Below are 20,488 nucleotides of genomic sequence, written 5' to 3' on the forward strand. Positions count from 1 at the left end.
GACAATAAATGATATTAAATGAATAAAATGAATTAATGGATACATAAATTCAGTATATCTTTCTCTTTGGAATTCTAACTTACCTACCTACCTAGCTGTGGAGCTTAGAATTAGTAGATTCAACTATTGATATAGCACTAGAAAGAAATGTTTCATAAAACTTAACTCAACATTTTTATTTGAAATAGGAAAATATTCATATTTACCTTCTGAGTCACTTTTTTTTCTTTTACAGACAGGGTCTCACTTTGTCACCCAGGCTGAAGTGCAGTGGTGGGATCACAGCTCACTGCAGCCTCAACCTCCCAGGTCAGGTGATCCTCCCACCTCTGCCTCCTGAGTAGCTGGAACTACAGATGCATGCCACCACTCCTAGCTAATTTTTTTTGTTTTTTTTTTTTTTTTTTTTGAAACGGAGTCTCGCTCTGTCGCCCAGGCTGGAGTGCAGTGGCACGATCTCGGCTCACTGCAAGCTCCGCCTCCCGGGTTCACGCCATTCTCCTGCCTCAGCCTCCCGAGCAGCTGGGACTACAGGCGCCCACCACCACGCCCGGCTAATTTTTTGCATTTTTAGTAGAGACGGGGTTTCACTGTGTTAGCCAGGATGGTCTCGATCTCCTGACCTCGTGATCCGCCCGCCTCGGCCTCCCAAAGTGCTGGGATTACAGGCGCGAGCCACCGCGCCCGGCCTAGCTAATTTTTTTTGCACGTTTTTTGTAGAGACAGGTTTTTGTTGTGTTGCCTAGGCTGGTCTCTAACTCCTGTGATCAAGCAATCTGCCCACCTGGGCCCTACAAAGTGCTAGGAATACAGGTGTGAGCTACCATGCCTTGCCCTGAGTCATCTTAAATATTTTAGAATTTCCACAAAATTAAGAAATAAGATGAAAGAAAATAAGTTTTCTATATTATGCAGTATTTTGATGGTGGCTGGTCATCAACATTCACTTAATCACTTATTCATTAAAGGGAATCCTAGGATCAGAGAACATTAGAAGCAACATTAGACATCACCTAACACAGGGCTCACAAATTGGTGGCTAGTAGATTTCAGACAGATTTTTCCTGACCAGCACATTACTTTTTTTTTTTCCTAAATATGATTTTGAACCCTTCACAAGGGTCAAGCACCTAATGGTGCTGTAGGTTCTTAAGCTCTATATTATCTCCTGGGCTTTTCGCCCAGCAGCCTCAAAAATTTTTTCCTACTTGTTTGATTCCCATGGTTATTTAATAAATGAATTCTAGTCCAACAACTCATTCTACAGATTAGACCCAGGATGTAAGTAGATATGATGTGTTAATGTTAAAAGTCAGCGTAAGGCAGCAGTTCTAAAAGCAGAGTGTGGATTCCTGGGTCTCGGGGGGATTTCTAGATGTATCAGAGGTTAGTTTCTCACATCATTATATATGGCAGTAGCCAGTATGCAAAGCTCTTTCAGGTTGCCAGGGAGAGCTTTATACTCAGGGTCTGTCTGTATGGTGATGGAGATTTATTGAAAGGATATGAGAAAGGAAGAAAAGAAACCATGGTAGCAATTGAAAGAAAAGGCCTCGGGAACTAAAGCCTAGTGTAAAATATAACAGTGGATTCAGTAATCTTCCATTCTCATGACTTATCGGCTCCTCTGTTTCTCTCTCCACTTTTCCATCCTAGTTCACTACTCCCTGTCTCCTGGTATATATTGTATTAAAAATCCAGAAGGAAAATATTGTTTGATTCAATTGTCACAATATAGAATCACTTTCCTTCATGGGTTAATTCTCACCTCAGATTCCTGGCTATCCTGGGGATCAGCATTTATCAGGTATTTTGACCACAACCTGCAGCAATAAATATATTTTACATGTGATCTTATGCATATATGCATATACTTTTTTTTTTTTTTTTTGAGTTGGAGTCTCGCTCCATCACCCAATCTGGAGTGCAGTGGCACGATCTTAGCTCAATGCAACCTCTGACTCCCAGATTCAAGCGATTCTCCTATCTCAGCCTCCCAAGTAGCTGGGACTACAGGTGCGTGCCACCGTGCTTGGCTAATTTTTGTGTTTTTAGTAGAGATGGGGTTTCACCATGTTGGCCAGGTTTGTCTCACCCTCCTGACCTCAGGTGATCCGCTTGCCTCGGCTTCCCAAAATGCTGGAATTACTGGAATGAGCCACCGTGCCCAGCCATTTATACTTTCTTAAGGTAATACTTAGCCAAACTATGTTTTACACTCTGATAATTTCTGTTCTTAATTAGTTGTATCCTGTCCCATTCTACTCTATTCATTTAGCTAGTTATGCCATGCTGAATTGATTTCATAACTGCAAGCTTGTACAACAATGCTATAGATCAGTGTTTCTCAAACTTTAACGTATACACAAGTCACCTGGGGATCTCATTAAAAATGCAGATTCTGATTCAGTAGGTCTGAGATACTGCATTTCTAACAGACCTCAGTGATGCTGACACTGCCAGTCTGTGTCCCACACTGTGAGAAGTAAGCCTGTAGGGAGTTTGTCTTTGGTTCTTGTGGTCCAATCCCTGGCTTAATCAGCCAAGGCCAGGGGCTTAGAATCTCATTATAAAGTGGCTGGGCGCAGTGGCTCATGCCTGTAATCCCAGCACTTTGGGAGGCCGAGGCAGGTGGATCACCTGACCTCAGGAGTTTGAGACTAGGCTGGCCAACATGATGAAAACCCATCTCTACTAAAAATACAAAAATTAGCTGGGCGTGGTGGTGCGCGCCTATAATCCCAGCTACTCAGGAGGCTGAAGCAGGAGAATCACTTGAACCTGGGAGGTGGAGGTTGCAGTGAGCCAAGATCACGCCACTGCACTCCAGCCTGGGCAACAAGAGCAAAACTCTTTCTCAAATAATAATAATAATCTTAGTATAAAGTATGGAAATCTGTGCACAAAGATCTTTGGCCATTTTGTTGAGAAAGAGCTGTGGCCATGATAGGCATTCAGAACAGCAGAGACTCTTACCAAGTACAGTGACATTTAGTTCAGATCTTAAACGTGATCATGTTCATTTAATGAATATTTATTTATAGAAAATTTACTATGTGCCAGGCCCAGTTCCAGGATAAGACAAAGTATTTCTTTTGTATTTTACATGTTAATGGAGTGAACAATTACATCTATAATTTCAGGTTATGGTAAGTGAAATGAAGAGAAATGAAGCAGGGTGAAGGGAAAGATCATGGCAATGTGAGGTGTTTGAAGTGTTAGATTAGGTGCTTAGGCAATGTCTTACAAGGCCAGTGACATTTGACAGAGACCCAAATGAAGAAAGACAACCTTGGGAAGATCTAGAGGAAGGACAGCCCAGGCAGAGAGAACAGCAAGGGCACAGGTACTCAGGTGGGAAAAAAGTGATGTTGGAGGGTTCAGCAAGAAGGCAGGGCTGACTAGAGAGGAGTAAGACAGGAAAGATGAGGTCATTTAGGGAAGCAGCCCTGATCAGGGAGGACATTACAGGCTGAGCTAAGTTTGGATTTTATTCTGAAGGTGACTGGAAACACTGAAGGGTTTTTAAGCAGGGAAATGACATGAAATTGTAGTTTTAAACGACCACTGTGGTGAATTTCTGGAGAATACACTATAGAACAAGCTTGTCCAACCCATAGCCCATGGGCCACATGTGGCTCAGGATGGCTTTGAATGTGGCCCAACACAAATTTGTAAACTTTCTTAAAATATTATGATTTTTTGTGATTTTTTTTTAGCTCATCTGCTGTCATTAGTGTTAATTTATTTTATGTGTGGCCCAAGACAATTCTTCTTAAGTGTGGCCCAAGACAATTCTTCTTCCAATGTGGCCCAGGGAAGCCAAAAGATTGGACACCTCTGCTTAGGTCAGGAGTAGAAGTATGAAGACTGGTTAAGGTGTTATAGTAATAGATCATATTGACTCATTGTGTCCACTGATTGGATTGTGCCAATTTGTTTTTTTAGAATTGGGGATAAATTGAAGTATTTAGCACTGCTGAAAGACTATAAGATTGAAAATGTAAAGATACTCATTTATATTAAGAGCTTTGTTGATAATTGACATCTAGCAATGCAGGATGCAAAATTCAACAAAGGATGGTAAAAAAATATAATAGATTTCCCTATTTTTCCATAAACCCAGATTTCTAGGTGAGCTCCAAGCCTGCACAGCATCAGCCTGACCTCCATTCCACAATGTCCAGATACCAGAGTAGGAAATTTCATCTGCCTAGAATAATCAAGTGTTCAATGTCCTGAGACTGACTTAAGTAACAGGAAATGATATGGTTTTTGTTTTAAATAATAAAGTAATAAATATTGGTTAAAGGCACCATCACCCTCATCTCTTATAGGTGGTAACCTTCTCCCTCTGGGCCGTCTTGTTCAAAACTGATTTTGCTGCTCTTATTTCTCTTATTATGTTAAATCGAAGATGTCATCATGTGGAGAATGATGTGCCATTATTTAGTATAACACAGAGAAAGAAAAAGATACCAACACTGCCAATTAAGTAGACATACCATCACATATAAGATGAACTTCAACTTCAGAGATATCAAAATGTGAAAAATATGTCCTTCTTAAAAGTTATGAGGTATGTATTTTTGTCATTATCCAGCTACTCAGAAACCTAGAGGTCATTGTAGGCTACCCTCTCTCAACTCCCACATCCTATCAATAACCAGGCACTAGAATTTCTACTTCCCAAATCTCACAAATTCTTGCCTTATCTTTCACCTTGGAAAGCTCATATCTATTCTAGCCTGAACAACTTTATTAACTACCAAGTCACTCTCCACATTAAAAGCAGAATGATAATCCAAAATATGGATCTGATAATTACAGTACTAGATTAAAAACTTCATTATTCTCTAGTTTGCTTATGGGTCAAGTTTAATCTTTTCATAATCTAAACATACTTTGTGATCTTGATCTTGTCTCTACCTTTTTTTTTTTTTTTTTTTTTTGAGACGGAGTTTCGCTCCTATTGCACAGGCTGGAGTGCAATGGCACAATCTCGGCTCACTGTAACCTCTGCCTCCTGGGTTCAAGCGATTCTCCTGCCTCAGCCTCCCAAGTAGCTGGGATTACAGGCGCCCACCACCACACCCAGCTAATTTTTGTATTTTTAGTAGAGACAGGGTTTCATCACGTTGGCCACACTGGTCTTGAACTCCTGACCTCAGGTGATCCGCCTACCTCGGCCTCCCAAAGTGCTGGGATACCAGGCATGAGCCACCACACCCGGCCTCTACCTCCTTTTTAAGTAGGTTCAGGAACATACAAACAAACTAGCATGTAAAAAATGTATTACCTTCTTCTGTAGTGGCTTCCCCTTCTCCTTTAATTTTTTCCTTCCTTGAGACAGGGCCTCAATCTGTCACTCAGGCTGGAGTGTAGTGGTACAATTATGGCTCACTGTAGCCTTGACTTCCCAGCCTCAAGCAATCCTCCCAGCTCAGTCTCCCAAGTAGCTGGGACTACAAGTGCATGCCACCACACCTGGCTAATTTTTGTATTTTTTGTAGAGATGGGGTTTTGCCATGTTGCTAAGGCTGGTCTCAAACTCCTGAGCTCAAGTGATCCTCCTACCTCGGCCTCCCAAAGTGTTGGAATTACAAGTATGAGCCACCTTGCCTAGCCCCTTCTGCCTTTTCTGCCTTGAGAATGTGTACTTATCCTTCAATAATTGGTTTAAATGTTGCCTCCTTAGTAAACGTTTTTGGTGCCCTCTGTACCCACTCTCTAAGGATCTGTTTTTTTCTTCTACAGTAGTTGACTTATGGGCCCCTCCTTTAGCCTCTATCCAATGTTATAATTGCTGGCCCTTCTGCATTGTGAGCCCCTTAAGGTCAACAAACATAATCTGTATATCATCACATCCTCAACACACAGCATTGGTCCTGGCACACAAGTAGGCCCTTACCAAATGTTTGCCATTAATAAGGAAATGGTGTGGCCCATGCATGGTGGCTCACGCCTGTAATCCCAGCACTTTGGGAGGCCGAGGCAGGCAGATCACCTGAGGTTGTTAGTTCAAGACCAGCCCGACCAACATGGAGAAACCCTGTCTCTACTAAAAATACAAAATTAGCCAGGCTTGGTGGCACATGCCTGTAATCCCAGCTACTCAGGAGGCTGAGGCAGGAGAATCGCTTGAACTCGGGAGGTGGAGGTTGCAGTGAGCCGAGATCATGCCATTGCACTCCAGCCTGGGCAACAAGAGTGAAACTCCGTCTCAAAAAAAAAAAAGGAAATGATGTGAAGCTGAAAAAAAAAATCACCCTTAATAAATAATATGAGGTCTAAAGGTTAAAAATATCAATTACTCCAACTTTGAAGCGAGGGTCAGGGCTAAAGGAAAGACATGGTCCCTCTCGCCTTTCTCAGCCCCCATTGTAAAGCCCACTGCTCTTGCATGGAATCCAGAGTACTATGGCGCCCTGATCCTGGGACCCTCTGTGGCTACGGTGGTCCCTGAAGTAAGTTTGTGAGGCAAAGAAACCTGGGTGACCATAGAATGTAGGGGTGGCTTTTTGTCAGCCACCATTGCATTCAACAAAAGTAGTCTAGATTTATAATCAGTTGATCCATGTGGCTTATCACTAGAAATTATTTTATGAAATATCAATCAACGTTTCAAAAAATCGTAATTGGTAATTTTCAAAGTTATTCACCCATACTGTGAATGGGCAATAGCCCCTGTAAACCTTTTCTCTATGACTCTCCCTTAAGAATATTGTTGTCAAAAATCAGAAAATTCCAAAGAAAACTGAATAGTTCAATGTATAAATTGTTCTTTAAATTCTTCTAAGGCCAAGGTGATGATTTTCTTTCCATTTCACATCTTTCTACACCATAGCACTTCACAGAGTGCCAGGACCTTGTGAGTACTTAATACATGTTGATTGAAAAATGTTGAAAGAAAAATCTTACTTTGAAAAATTTTGTAACTTTAATTTTGCCTTGGGCTTGTTCCTTTCAAACTTGGATAAATAACAGGGAAAAACATAATCAGTCTCCAAACCACTAAAATCATGACTGGCTTCCTTATGCCCCTATATTACTACAATATAAATATCACAATAAATATTCAAAGTGATGTTCAAGCAGTAGAAGATCAGAAAGCAATAGGACTATATTACAGGGAAGGCATGAGGACCCAAATTTCTTCTTATGTGGTATTACTGTAATTGTGTGGTCTACAGAGTTATAAGAGGTTTGAACAATGAGAGGGAGTATAAGGACTATTCAGGAAGTAAAGGGAGGAATAAGAAAATAATTATTTTGAGAAAGACAATTTATATTACATCAAGCCATTTTAAAAATGCCATTTTGTAGTAAAAAGTGGTTGAAGGTATGAACCTGTAATCCCAGCTACAGGAGGTTGAGGTGGGAGGATTGAGTGAGCTCCAGACTTCAACCCTGTCTCACACACACAACAAAAAAACGTGAAAAGAAAGTATTTTTTTTTTCTTTTTGAGACGGAGTCTTGCTCTGTCACCCAGGCTGGAGTGCAGTGGTGCGATCTCGGCTCACTGCAAGCTCTGCCTTCCATGTTCACGCCATTCTCCTGCCTCAGCCTCCCAAGTAGCTGAGACTACAGGCGCCCACCACCACACCCAGCTAATTTTTTGTATTTTTAGTAGAGACAGGGTTTCACCATGTTAGCCAGGATGGTCTCGATCTCCTGACCTCATGATCCACCCACCTCGGCCTCCCAAAGTGTTGGGATTACAGGCGTGAGCCAACGCGTCCAGCTGCCGAAAGTAATTTTTAAAATAAGAGATGCGTTCATGCAATGTTAGTGCCCTGAAGGCCTCAAAAGAAATGAAAACAGCCCTTCAGCATCTGTATCAGCCAGAGACTATGTAGCATACTGGTTAAGATATGAATGTTTTAAGCTGTTGGTTCTTTTCTCGAGAGTTTAAAATGTTTTTTAATTAACAAAAATTGTATATATTTATCACATGCAACATGTTTGAAACATGTACACACTGTGGAATGACTACATTGAGCTAATTAATATATGCATTGCAGAACACACTTATCATTTTATATGATGAGAACACTTAAAATCCACTCTCTTAGCAACTTCCAAGACTATAATACATTGTTATTTACTATTGTCTCCATGTGGTACAATAGATCTCTTGAACTTATTCCTCCTACCTAACTGAAATTTTGTCTCCTTTGACCAATATTTCCCCAACACCACCCCCCCACCACCACCTCTCTCCAGCCCCTGGTAACCAGCATGCGACTCTCTACTTTTATGATTCTGACTTCTGACTTTTTAAAATTCCACAAATGGGTGAGATCATGCAGTATTGTCTTCCTGTGCCTGGCTTATTTCACTTAACATAATGTTTTCCAGGTTCATCCATGTAGTCCCAAATGACAACCCGGTCGTCCTTCCTTTTTAAGGCTGGATTTTCTTGCTTTTAAGGCTGAATGTTACTCCATTGTGTATACATTTTCTTTCTTCATTCATCTGTTGATAGACACTTAGGTTGATTCCATATCTTGGCTATTGTGAAAAATGCTGCAATGAACATGGGAGTGCAGATATCTCTTCGACATACAAATTTCATTTCCTTTGTATAAATATCCAGTAATGCGATTGCTAGATCATGTGGTAATTCTTTTAAGATATGAGTTTTAAGGTCAGACTTCCTTTAATTGAATCTTGCCTATACTACTTAACTGTATGATCTTTGTCAAATTCCTTCATTTCTGCTGCCTCAGTTTCTTCACCTGCAAAAGAGGAAAATAATATTATTTACTTTATTAGGTTTTTATAAAGTTTAAATGGGATAAAGCTATAATGAACTTAGAATGGTGCCTGGCACATTCCAAGTTTCTACTAGATGAATGATGTTACTTCGATCAGTCCTCTTCAGTCAGAAAGGAAACTATGAAGTTAGCAGTCATTTATATGGGGGCAAATAAGAATTTTGAGTTCCTAATTATTTTTATAGACTTATTAGGAGAGATGAAGCTTTGGGGTCAAACACATCTGGGTTTCTCTTTGGGGAAATTTATTTACCTTTTCTAACATCATCTTTTTCATCTGTAAAATGGGCAAAAGATTATAACTAAGTCATATATTTGTTGTGAAAAGTAAATGAAATTAGTTATGTAAAATCCTCAACAGAAAGCTCACAGAGTGCCTAATAAATGGCAGCTCTTGCTATCCGTAATAATTACATTGACCTGTATTTTACAGATGTATCTTCTTAGTTTCCTAAAATTACCCAATTCAAAAAAGAACTTAAAACGTTTATTACACAAATCTATTCTTGAATATTCTGTAATAACCATTGCCTACTTAATTTTTAGAGCTAATTAGAATTATTAAAAAGTATACATTTTGAAGGTATACTCTATTTTATAATATATGAACAATGTTGAGATTTCAAAATAAGGACCACATAGAAACATTAAAACAATTATATTACTTAACCTGTTAAAAAAAATCACAGTTTCTAGTTGTGAAGTTCTATGTGCAAAAATGAAAAAGAAAAAAAATCAAAACAAAAATACTGGTAAACAGGCCAGGCATGGTAGCTCACACCTGTAATCCCAGCACTTTGGGAGGTCAAGGCAGAAGGATCACTTGAGGCCAGGTGTTCGAGACCTGCCTGGCCAACATGATGAAACCCCATTTCTACTAAAAGTACAAAAATTAGCTGGACATGGTGGTACACACCTGTAATCCCAACTACTTGGGAGGTTGAGGCATGAGAATTGCTTGAACCTGGGAGACGAGGATGGCAGTGATCCAAGATCATGCCACTGCACTCCAGACTGGGTGACAGAGTGAGACTCTGTCTCAAAAACAAACAAACAAAAACAACAAACTGGTACACAAAGGCATATTTTGTTGATCAGTGCAATGAAGAGGAGGCAACACAAGGTTGATAGAAGCCTAGTAAAGGGGGTGCAATATATTTGAAGGGATAGGTCATGTTTTATTTCCCTTTTCATAGCCCTATATGGCCCTGACACAGTGGTGTTGTGATTCATAGGCCTCAATTCTAAGGAGATATTCTTCCAACCAGCATATTCTTATAAATGATATAATTTAAATGATGGTAATAAAAAATCAAGGGTAGTTGCTGAAATCGACTTGGAAGACTTGGGAGAGAAGCAGATAGAACATGAACAAGAAAAGATCAGCTCAGATTGAGTCTTCAAATAATTTTAAGAGGAGTTTGTTTAGAAAGACACTCCTAGGGATTTATATGTTCAAAGAGAAAAAGAATGAATTTAAAGATGATGTCATGGCTATGCATTAGTTTAATGGAAGGGACAACATTAATGGTTATAGAAAATGTGCTTTTATATAACTTGAAAAGTTAGAAATTGATATACAACCTCAAAACACTTCATTGACTAGGAATGTATTTTCCCCTGAGGCTCGAGAACTTTAAAGCCACATGAAATATTTCATTGTCTTGTGATTCATAATGCTGGCACATCTTACATCACACTCAATTAAAGAACAGGGCCTGTTTCTATACATCATCTTCCCAGAGCAAAACTAAGGAACATGAAGGCAAGTTACATTGTCAGAAATAAGATCTTCACTCCTATATTAGACATTTTTGTTCATTTCTTCTATGATATCTCCATACCTGACTTTGAAGTTTCTGCTTCCAATATACCATATGCTCATGTGTTTTTCAATTTCTACCAGTCTGCAACAGTTTCATTTTGGTTGGAATTAGGCAGGTGGTACCTGAAGCCCTTCTACATACATTTGTTCTGATTTCAAAAGGAATGAGTCGGTATAGCGAAGTGATTAAAATTCATTATTAGGTTTCAGACAGACCCAGTTCAAATCCACATCTGACTTATGTACTTCAAGTCTCTAAGCTTCAGTTTTCTCATTTGTAAAAAAAGTGTAATAATAATAATATTGATTCCATCTGATTGTCGAGAGCATTAATTGTATGTAAGGAACTATGGTAAAAACTAAAGGCATGATAATTATTTTTAAGCTCTTTATTATATAATGTTTGGAGAATTATAGGACTTAGAGGATGGCATTTACTTATTAAGATGGGAACTCAAGTCTTTCTTGCTTCATGGAGTATCCTTAAGCAATAACAGTCTCTTCTGCATTTAATATTAATTGTATACTTTGAAATACCTTTATTATTATTTTCTATGGTAGATTATTATCTCAATGAATGGAGTAAAAAGACTGGAAATGCAGCTAATGCTTCCGGTAAGATGGAGTAGATGTAATTTTCCCTATTCCTTCCATTAAGTACAACTTAAAACCCTAGATATTATCTATAAAACAAACATAAATAGACTATGAAAAGTGGAGGGAAGAAGGCAGACCAGCTAGGGACCTTGGAACCCAAGGAATGACATGGTAGTGAATTATTTAGGTTTTCTTTTTGCTTCATATATCCTGGATTGGGTGCTGGAGAAGGCTATAATCCAAATCCCAACAAGCACAGACCAAAAAGTTAAAGCCCCTCAAAAAGCCTGCTTTCTCTAACTAAAAAACCAGGAATAGGGCGGCCTGAAAGGCCAGAAAACTTTGAGATAATAACCAATCTATTTCAGCCAAACACCATAGAAAAAACTGGCCCCATCCTTCTCCACACCAGGAAAGGCCAAATGGGAGGCTTAGACCTCCATCTTTTCCAGGCTGAAATGAAATAAAGCACCCCAACTACCCCACCAGTATAGTGTCAGAGAAGACTAAGTAGGGAGCTGGAACTTTTGTGCCCATAGGCAGCAATGAGCCCCCAGCTGCCATGCTTCACAATGACCGTATAAACCATGTGGGGGGCTTGGTCTTCCACTCCCACCAAGTAATAATGAGATGTCCTCCCTCCCTACTGTGGTGGTGTAGAGGAGGCTAGGTGGAGAGACAGGACTTTCACTACTGCCCAGCAGTAATGAGACCACACTCTTTCATCCCTCTATGATGTCAGTAGAAACATACAAAGAGAGTGTTGAGACACTCCTACTCCTCTAAGCCAAGGAGGTCTAGTGTAAAGCCAGAACACATAGCCTTTCCCAGAAAGAACAAGGAGTCCCTGACCTGAGCTGTCAATGAAGGCTGAGTACTGAACTCCTACCCCTACCTGGTAATAATGAGGTAATGTTCTACCACCCCACTTTCCCTGCTAGAGTGGTATCAGAGAAATCCAGCTAAAACAAAGTTTAAATAAGATTCAGTCTCGTAACATAATGCTTCAAAAATCCCCATTTCAATAGTAAATCACTTGTCATGCCAAGAACTAGGAAGATCTCAAACTGAATGAAAAAAGATGATATCAACTCCTAGATGACAAGAGAGTTTAGAATTATCTGGAAAATATTGTAAATGAGCCACCATAAAGATGTTTAGATGAGCAATTACAAACATGCCTGAAATAAATTTTAAAAAATAGAAAGTTTCAGCAAATAGAAAATCTCAGTAAAGAAATAGAAGACATGAAGAAGAATCAAAGGGAAATTTTAGAACAAAAAATGTATCTGGTATAAAAATGAAAAAGCAGAATAGAGAAGACAAAGCAAAGAATCAGTAAACTAGAAGACAGAGCAATAGAAATTACCCAATCTGAACAACAGAGTTAGAAACAGACTGGGAAAAAGAAAAATGAACATAGCCTTAGAAATCTAAGGAACTATAACAAAAGATGTAACTTTTATGTTATTAGAGTGCCAGAAGGAGAGGATAAAGAGGTACTTAAAGAAATAAGACTGAAAACTTACCAAGTTTTACAAAAGACATAAACCTACAGATTCTAGAAACTGAGTGAATGTGATAAACCTAAAGAAATCTATAACAAGACATATCATAATCAAACTTCTAAAAATTGAAGACAAACAATCTTGAAAGCAATGAGAAAAAAAATGACACTTTACCCAGCATTACCAGGGGATAAACAATTCAAATAACAGTGGATTTCTCACTATAAATCATGGAAGCAGAAGGAAGTGGCACAACATTTTTCAAGTGATGAAAGCAAAGAATCATCAACTCAGAATTCAGCAAAAATATCCTTCAGGAATGAAAGAACAATAAAGGCTTTCTCAGATGAAGGAATATCAAGAGAACTTGTTGCCAGCTGACTTACCCTTAAAAAATGGCTAATGAAAATGTTCTAAACAAGAAGAAAATGATAAAAGAAGGAATCTTGGAACATCAGAAAAGAAGAAAGAACAATACAACAAAGATAAGCAAAAATATGGGTAAATACAATAGATTTCTTTCTCTTTTTGAGTTTTCTAAATTGTGTTTGATGGTTGAATTTAAAAGTTACAATACTGTATGATGTGGTTTTAAATGCAGGTAGAGAAAATATTTAAGGTAATATAAATGGGGGATATGTAAAAGGATATAAAGGGAGATAAATTTCCACATTTCACTCTAACTGTTAAAATAACACCACCAGTAGACTGTGATAAGTTATGTATATGTAGTGTGATACCTAGAGCAACCAATACAAAAATAAACATTTTCATTTTAAAACACTGTAGATAAAATGGAATTCTAAAAAATGTTAAGTAACCCACAGAAAGGAAAAAAACAGAAATTAAAAGGAGAGAACAAACAAGAAAAATAAAACAAAGTAGCATACTTATGCCCCCAAATAACAATAATTACATTGAATATAAATGGTCTAAACACACCAATTAAAAGACAGATATTGTTAGAGTGGATTAAAAACATGACCCAAATATAGAAACTCATTTCAAATATAATAATATAGGTAGCTTGTTAGTGAAGAATAGAAAAAGGTATATCATGTAGACATTAGTGAAAAACAATCAGTGGTAGCTATATTAATATCAGATAAGGCCGACTTCAGAACAAAGAAAATTACCAGACAGAGAAGAACAACATAAATGAAAAAATGTCAATTCACCAAGAAGACTTAGCAATCCTAGATGATTATGCACTCTATAACAAAGCTGCAAAATATGTGAAGAAAAAACTGATAGATCAGAAAGAAGAAATAGGCAAATTCATGATTATAGTTGTGGAGAATACAACACCCTTCTCAATAATGGATAGAAAAACTGGACAGAAAATCAGCAAAGATATAGAAGAACTCAACAACAGCATTGACTGACAGTATCTAATCAACATTTATAGAACATTCCATCAGACAACAACAAAATACCCATTCTTTCCAAGTGCCCATGGAACTTGATACCAAAATAGATGATATCCTGAGCCACAAAACAATCTTCAACAATTTGAAAACAGTTGAAATTATATGGAGTATGTTCTCTGACCACAATGGAATCAAACTAGAAATAAACAGTGGAAAGATGACAGGAAAATCTTCAAACACTTGAAAACTAAACAGTGCATTTCTAAATAATCAGTGAGTCAATGGGGAAGTCACAAAGGCATTTTATTTTATTTTTATATTTATTTATTTATTTATTTATTTTTGAGACAGGGTCTCTTTCTTTATCACTCAGGCTGGAGTGCAGTGGTGCGATCTTGGCTCACTGCAACCTTAGCCTCCCAGTTCAAGAGAATCTCCTGCCTCAGCCTCCCAAGTAGCTGGGATTACAGGCGCCTGCCACCATGCCTGGCTAATTTTTGTATTTTTAGTAGAGACAGGGTTTCATCATGTTGGCCAGACTGGACTCGAACTCCTGGCCTCCCAGTGATCTGCCCACCTTGGCCTCCCAAAGTGCTGGGATTACAGGTGTGAGCCACCGTGCCCGGCCACAAAGAAAATTTTTTAAAAAATAAGCTGAGCAGAACGAAAATAACAAAACAATATATCAAAATGTGTATGACACAGCTAAAGCAGTGCTAAAAAAATTTTAAGCACTAAGTGCATACATTATGAAACAGAAAAAGCCTAAAAGCAATAATTGAATCTCGAGAGCTTAGAAAGAAAGCAAAATAAAACCAAAGCAAGCAGAAGGAAATAATAAAGATAAAAACAGAAATCAATAAAATCAAAAATAGTAAAACAACAGAGAACAACTATTTTAGATTATTCCTTTGAGTGAGATCATGTGGTATTTTGTCTTTCTGTTTGGCTTTTTTCACTTAACATAATGTCCTCCAGTATCATCCATGTTGTTGCACATGACAGAATTTCATTCATTTTTGTGGCTGAATGATAATTCCATTTTGTATATATACTATATTTTCTTTATCCATTCATCCATTAATGGACACTTAAGTTGATTCCATGTCTTGGCTCTTGTGAATAGTGCTGTCATAAATATTGGAGTGCAGGTAAATCTTTGATATACTGATTTCAATTCCTTTGGATATATATCCAATAGTGGAATTGCTGGATTGTATAGTAGTACTATTTGTAATTTTTTGAGGAATCTGCATAGTGTTTTCCACAACAGCAGTACTAATTTACATTTCTACCAGCAGTGTATAAGTTTCCTTTTCTCCACATGGTGGTTACCAGAGGTTGGGGCTGCTGCAGGGAAGGGGAGAATGGGCAGATATTGGTCAAAGCATACATAATTTCAGTTAGGAGAATTAAGTTCAAGGGATGTATTGTACAGCAAGGTGACTACAGTTAGTGATGATATAGTATACTCTTGAAAACGTAAAGAGAGTAGATATTATGTGCTCTCACCACAAAAAAAAGATACCTGTGAGGTAATACATTTGTTAATTAGCAAGATTCAACCATCCAATAATATGTCTGTACTTCAAAATATCATGTACATAATAAAAATGTACAATGTTATCTGTCAATTTAAAAATGTAATAGTAAAAAGAAAACAATAGAGAAAATGATGAAATTGGAAGCAAAAAACAATAGAGGAAATCAATGAAACAAAGCACTGATTCCTTAGAAAGATCAGTCAAACCTCTGGCTAGACTGAAAAAGAAAAAAAAAGAGGAAACATGAATTATTAATATATTTGATATACTTGTTTAAATGTTAATATCATGAATGAAATAGGGATATCACTATAGACTTTGCAGACATGAAAAAGACAGTAAGAGAATAATTTGAACAACTCTACACATATAAACTCCACAGCTTAGATGGAATAAAAGAATTCCTTGAAAAACTATCACAACTCACCCAACATGAAAGAGGTACTTTGAATAGACCTATAACCATTAAGGAAATTGAATTTGTTATTTAACAACTTACAAAAAAAGAAACATCCAAGCCTAGATGCTTTCACTGGAGAATTCCAACCAACATTTAAAGAATTAATGCCAAGTATACATTTTCTCTTACCTCTTCCAGAACATAGAAGAGAAACACTTCCTAATTCATTTATGAAGCTAATATTACCCTGATGCCAAAAGCAGACAAAGATAGTACAAAGAGAGAAAACTATAGACCAATATCGTTCATGAATAAAGATGCAAAGATCCTTAACAAATATTAGCAAATAGAATTCAGGCATACATACATATGTATATGTATCCACAAAGAATTATAAATCATACCAAGGGGGTTTATTGTTGGGGTGTTCAGTTGATTTAATATTTGAAAATCAATCAATGTAATTCACCATATTAATAGGCTAAAAATCATAGGATTATATCAACCAGTGCAGAAAAAAATTTGACAAAATTCAATACTCATATATGATTTTTAAAACTCTCAGAGGACTGGATGTGGTGGCTGACAGACACCTTGTAATTCCAGCACTTTGTGAGGCTGAGGTGGAAGGATTGCTTGAGGCCAGAGTTCGAGACCAGCCTAGGCAACATAGTGAGACTTGTCTCTACAAAACATTTTTTTAAAATTAGCTGGGCATGGTGGCATGCTCCTGTAGTCCCAGCTACTTGGAAGGCTGAGGTGGGAGGTTTGCTTGAGCCCAGGGTTTGAGGCTGCAGTGAGCTATGATCACACCACTGTACACCAGCCTGGGTGACAGTTTTTGTTTATTTGTTTAAGAGACAAATGAATATGTACTTGATTTATGTGAGCTTACATAATAAAAACTCTCAGAGATACAGGAATAGCAGGGAACTTCCTCAATTTGATCAAGATCATCTACCAAAAAAACTGTAGGTCACAATATACTCAATGGTGAATGCTTTCCCACTAGGATCAGGAACAAGTCAAGGATGTCTGCTGTCACTCTTCTTATTCAACATAGTGCTAGAAGTCCTAGCAAGTGCAATAAAACAAGGGAAGAAAGTAAAAACATACAAATCACAAAGAAAGACATAAAACTGTCACTATTTGTAGATTACATAACTATCTAAATAGAAAATGCCAAGGAGTCTATAAAAAAACTCCTACTAGTAGATGAATTCTACTAGTAGATGAATTCATCAAGGTCACAGGATAAGCTTACATAAATCAATTATATTTTTGTATATTAGCAATTGTCACATGGACACCAATATTAAAAGTACAATACCATTTATGATTGCTCAAAAAATTCAAATATTTAGATGTAACCATCACAAAACAGGTACAGGAGTTTAATGCTGAAAACTACAAAACACTGCTGAAAAAAATGAAAGCCCTAAATAAATGAGAGACACACCATGATCATGGATTGGAAAACTCAACATAGTAAGGATATCAATTTTCACTGATTTGATAGACAAATTTAATCCATTTGCTACCAAAATCTCAGCAGATTTTTGTAAATATACATGAGACTATTCTAAAACTTATATGAAAAAAAAAAGAAGTAGACAAAACTATTTTGAAAAAAAAGAATTAAGTGGGAATCCAATTTCAAGATTTATTATATAGCTTCATTATGAAGTCTGTGGTATTGGTGGACAGGGACACACACATAGATCAATGAGATAGGATAGAGCCCAGGAATAGACCTGCACGAGTATGTCCAATTGATTTTTTTTTTTTTTTTTGAGAAAGGGTCTCACTCTGTCACCCATGCTGGAGTGCAGTCATGCAATCTCAGCTCACTGCAACCTCTGCCTCCTGGGTTCAAGCAATTCTCATGCCTCAGCTACTGAATAGCTGGGATTACAGGTGTGGGCCACCATGCCTGGCTAATTTTGTATTTTTAGTAGAAATGGGTTTTTGCCATGTTGGCCAGGCTGGTCTCTAATTCCTGGCCTCCCAGTGATCCGCCTGCCTCTGCCTCACGAAGTACTGGGATCACAGACATAATCCACTGTGCCTGGCCTCCAACTGATTTTTGACAAAGGCACAAAATGCAATTCAATGGAAGAAAGATAGCCTTTAAAAAATGGTGCTAGAGCAATTGGACATTCATTTTAAAAAGCAAATCTCAACCCAAACCTCAGACCTTATCCAAAAATTAACTTAAAATGGTACAGGGATATAAATGTAAAATATAAAAGTATAAAACTTTTAGAAATAATAGGGGAAAATGTTTGAGATCTAGAGATGGACAAAGAGTTCTTAGACTTGACAAGAAAAACATGATCCATAAAAGGAAAAACTGACACATTGAACTTTATCAAAATTAAAAACATTTGCTGTGTGAAAAATTCTATTAAAAAGATGAAAGGACAAGGAGTAATGTTCAGAATATATAAAGAACTCTCAAAACTCAACAGTTAAAAAAAATCCAAAAGTCAAGTACTGCAGGTTCTCATTTATAAGTGGTAGCTAAATAATGTGTACACATGAACATAAAGGAAAGAATAATAGACACTGAAGACTCAGAAGAGGAGGAGGGCGGGGGAGGGGAGATGGAGGTGAGGAATGAGAAATTACTTCATAGGTACAATGTATATTATTTGGGTGATAGTTACACTAAAAGCTCAAACTTCGCCACTGCTCAATATATCCGTGTATTAAAACTGCACTCATACCCCTTAAATTTATAGAAATAAAAAATTACTTAAAATACATAAATAAAAAATAAAATTTAAAAATCCAAGTATAAAGTGGACAAAATAAATTTTACCAGAGCGAATATACAGATATCAAAAAGCATATACAAAGATGTTTAACATCATTAGATATTAGGGAATTCAAATTAAAACCACAATGCATAATACTACACACCTATGAGAATGACTAAAATTTTTTTAAAATTTAAAAAATTAGTGAAAACACCAAATTCTGGTGAGGATGCAAAAAAAAACTATCACTCCTACATTGCCATTGGGAATACAAAATGATACACCTACTCTGGAAAATAGTTTCTTTTAGAACTAAACATGTGAAGGTACCAAGAACATACATTGGGAAAGAACAATAAATGGTGCTTGGAAACTGGATATTTATATGAAGAAGGAGAAAATTAAACCCCTATCTCATATTATATACAAAAATCAAATCTAAATTGAATAGAAACTTAAATGTAAGACCTGAAACTATGAACCTACTATAAGATAACATTAGGAAAATTATCTAGGTCATTGATTTGTGCAAAGATTTCTTGAGTAAGATCGCAAAAGCACAGGCAACTAAAGCAAAAAATGGACAAATGGGATCACAGCAGAGGAAACAATCAACAAAGTGAAAAGACAACCCACAGCATGGGAGAAAATATTTGCCAACTACCTATCTGACATGGGATTAATAACCAGAATATATAAGGAGCTCAGACGTCTCAACAGAAAAAATTCAAATTGAAAATGGGTGAAAGATATGAATAGACATTTCTCAAAAGAAGACATACAGATGGCCGACAGGTATATTACAAAATGCTCAACATCACCAATCATCAGAGAACTGCAAATCAAAACTATGAGATACTATCTCAGTCCAGTTAAAATGACTTTTATAAAAAAGGCAATAACGGATGCTAGGGCAGATAGGGAGAAAGTGGAACCCTCCAACACTGTTGGTGGGAATGTAAATTAGCACAGTCACTATGGAGAACAGTATGGAGACCTCTCAAACAACTAAAAATATAACTACCCAATGATCCAGCAATCCTACTGCTGGGTATAGGATCCATATAAAAGGAAATCAGTATATTGAAGAAGTATCTGCACTCCCATGTTTATTGCAGCACTATTATTCACAGTAGCCAAGATAGGGAATCAACCTAAGTATCCATCGATGGATAAATGGACAAAGAAAATGTGGTACATATATCTACAATAGAAAATTATTCAGCCACAAAAAAGAACGAAATTCTGTTGTTTGCAACAATATGGATGGAACTGTAAGGCATTACGTTAAGTGAAATAAGCCAGGCGCAGCAAGACAAATATCACATTTTCTCACTCATATGTGGGAGCTAAATGTGTTGATCTCATGAAGATACAGGGTAGAATGATCATTACCAGAGGCTAGGAAGGATACCAGAGGCTAGGAAGGATACCAGAGGTGGGGAAAGGGGGATAAAGAGGAATTGGTTAGTGGGTACAAAAATATAGATAGAAGGAATCAGATATAATGTTTGGTAGCACAATAAGGTGACCATAGTTAACAAAAATTTATTGTATATTTCACAATAGCAGAGTGGAATTGGGATGTCCCTAACACAAAGAAATGATAAATGTTCAAGAAATGTTCAAGATGATGATACCCCAGTTACCCTGATTTGATCATTACACATTTAATGCTTATATCAAAATATTACTTCTACC

General features: G+C 37.2%; 1 long non-coding RNA gene across 1 annotated transcript in view; it reads left to right on the forward strand.

The window, feature by feature from the left end:
* The window catches only part of PPP1R12A-AS2 (PPP1R12A antisense RNA 2), an 89,875-nt gene that overhangs the window by 25,732 nt on the left and 43,655 nt on the right, over positions 1-20,488 (forward strand). Inside the window, exons 3-4 of the long non-coding RNA NR_187531.1 lie at positions 4,418-4,579; positions 5,514-5,606. This is a non-coding gene — a long non-coding RNA (PPP1R12A antisense RNA 2). The remainder of the gene's footprint in view (positions 1-4,417; positions 4,580-5,513; positions 5,607-20,488) is intronic.

Source organism: Homo sapiens, chromosome 12 (assembly GCF_000001405.40).
Source record: "Homo sapiens chromosome 12, GRCh38.p14 Primary Assembly".
NCBI lineage: Eukaryota > Metazoa > Chordata > Mammalia > Primates > Hominidae > Homo > Homo sapiens.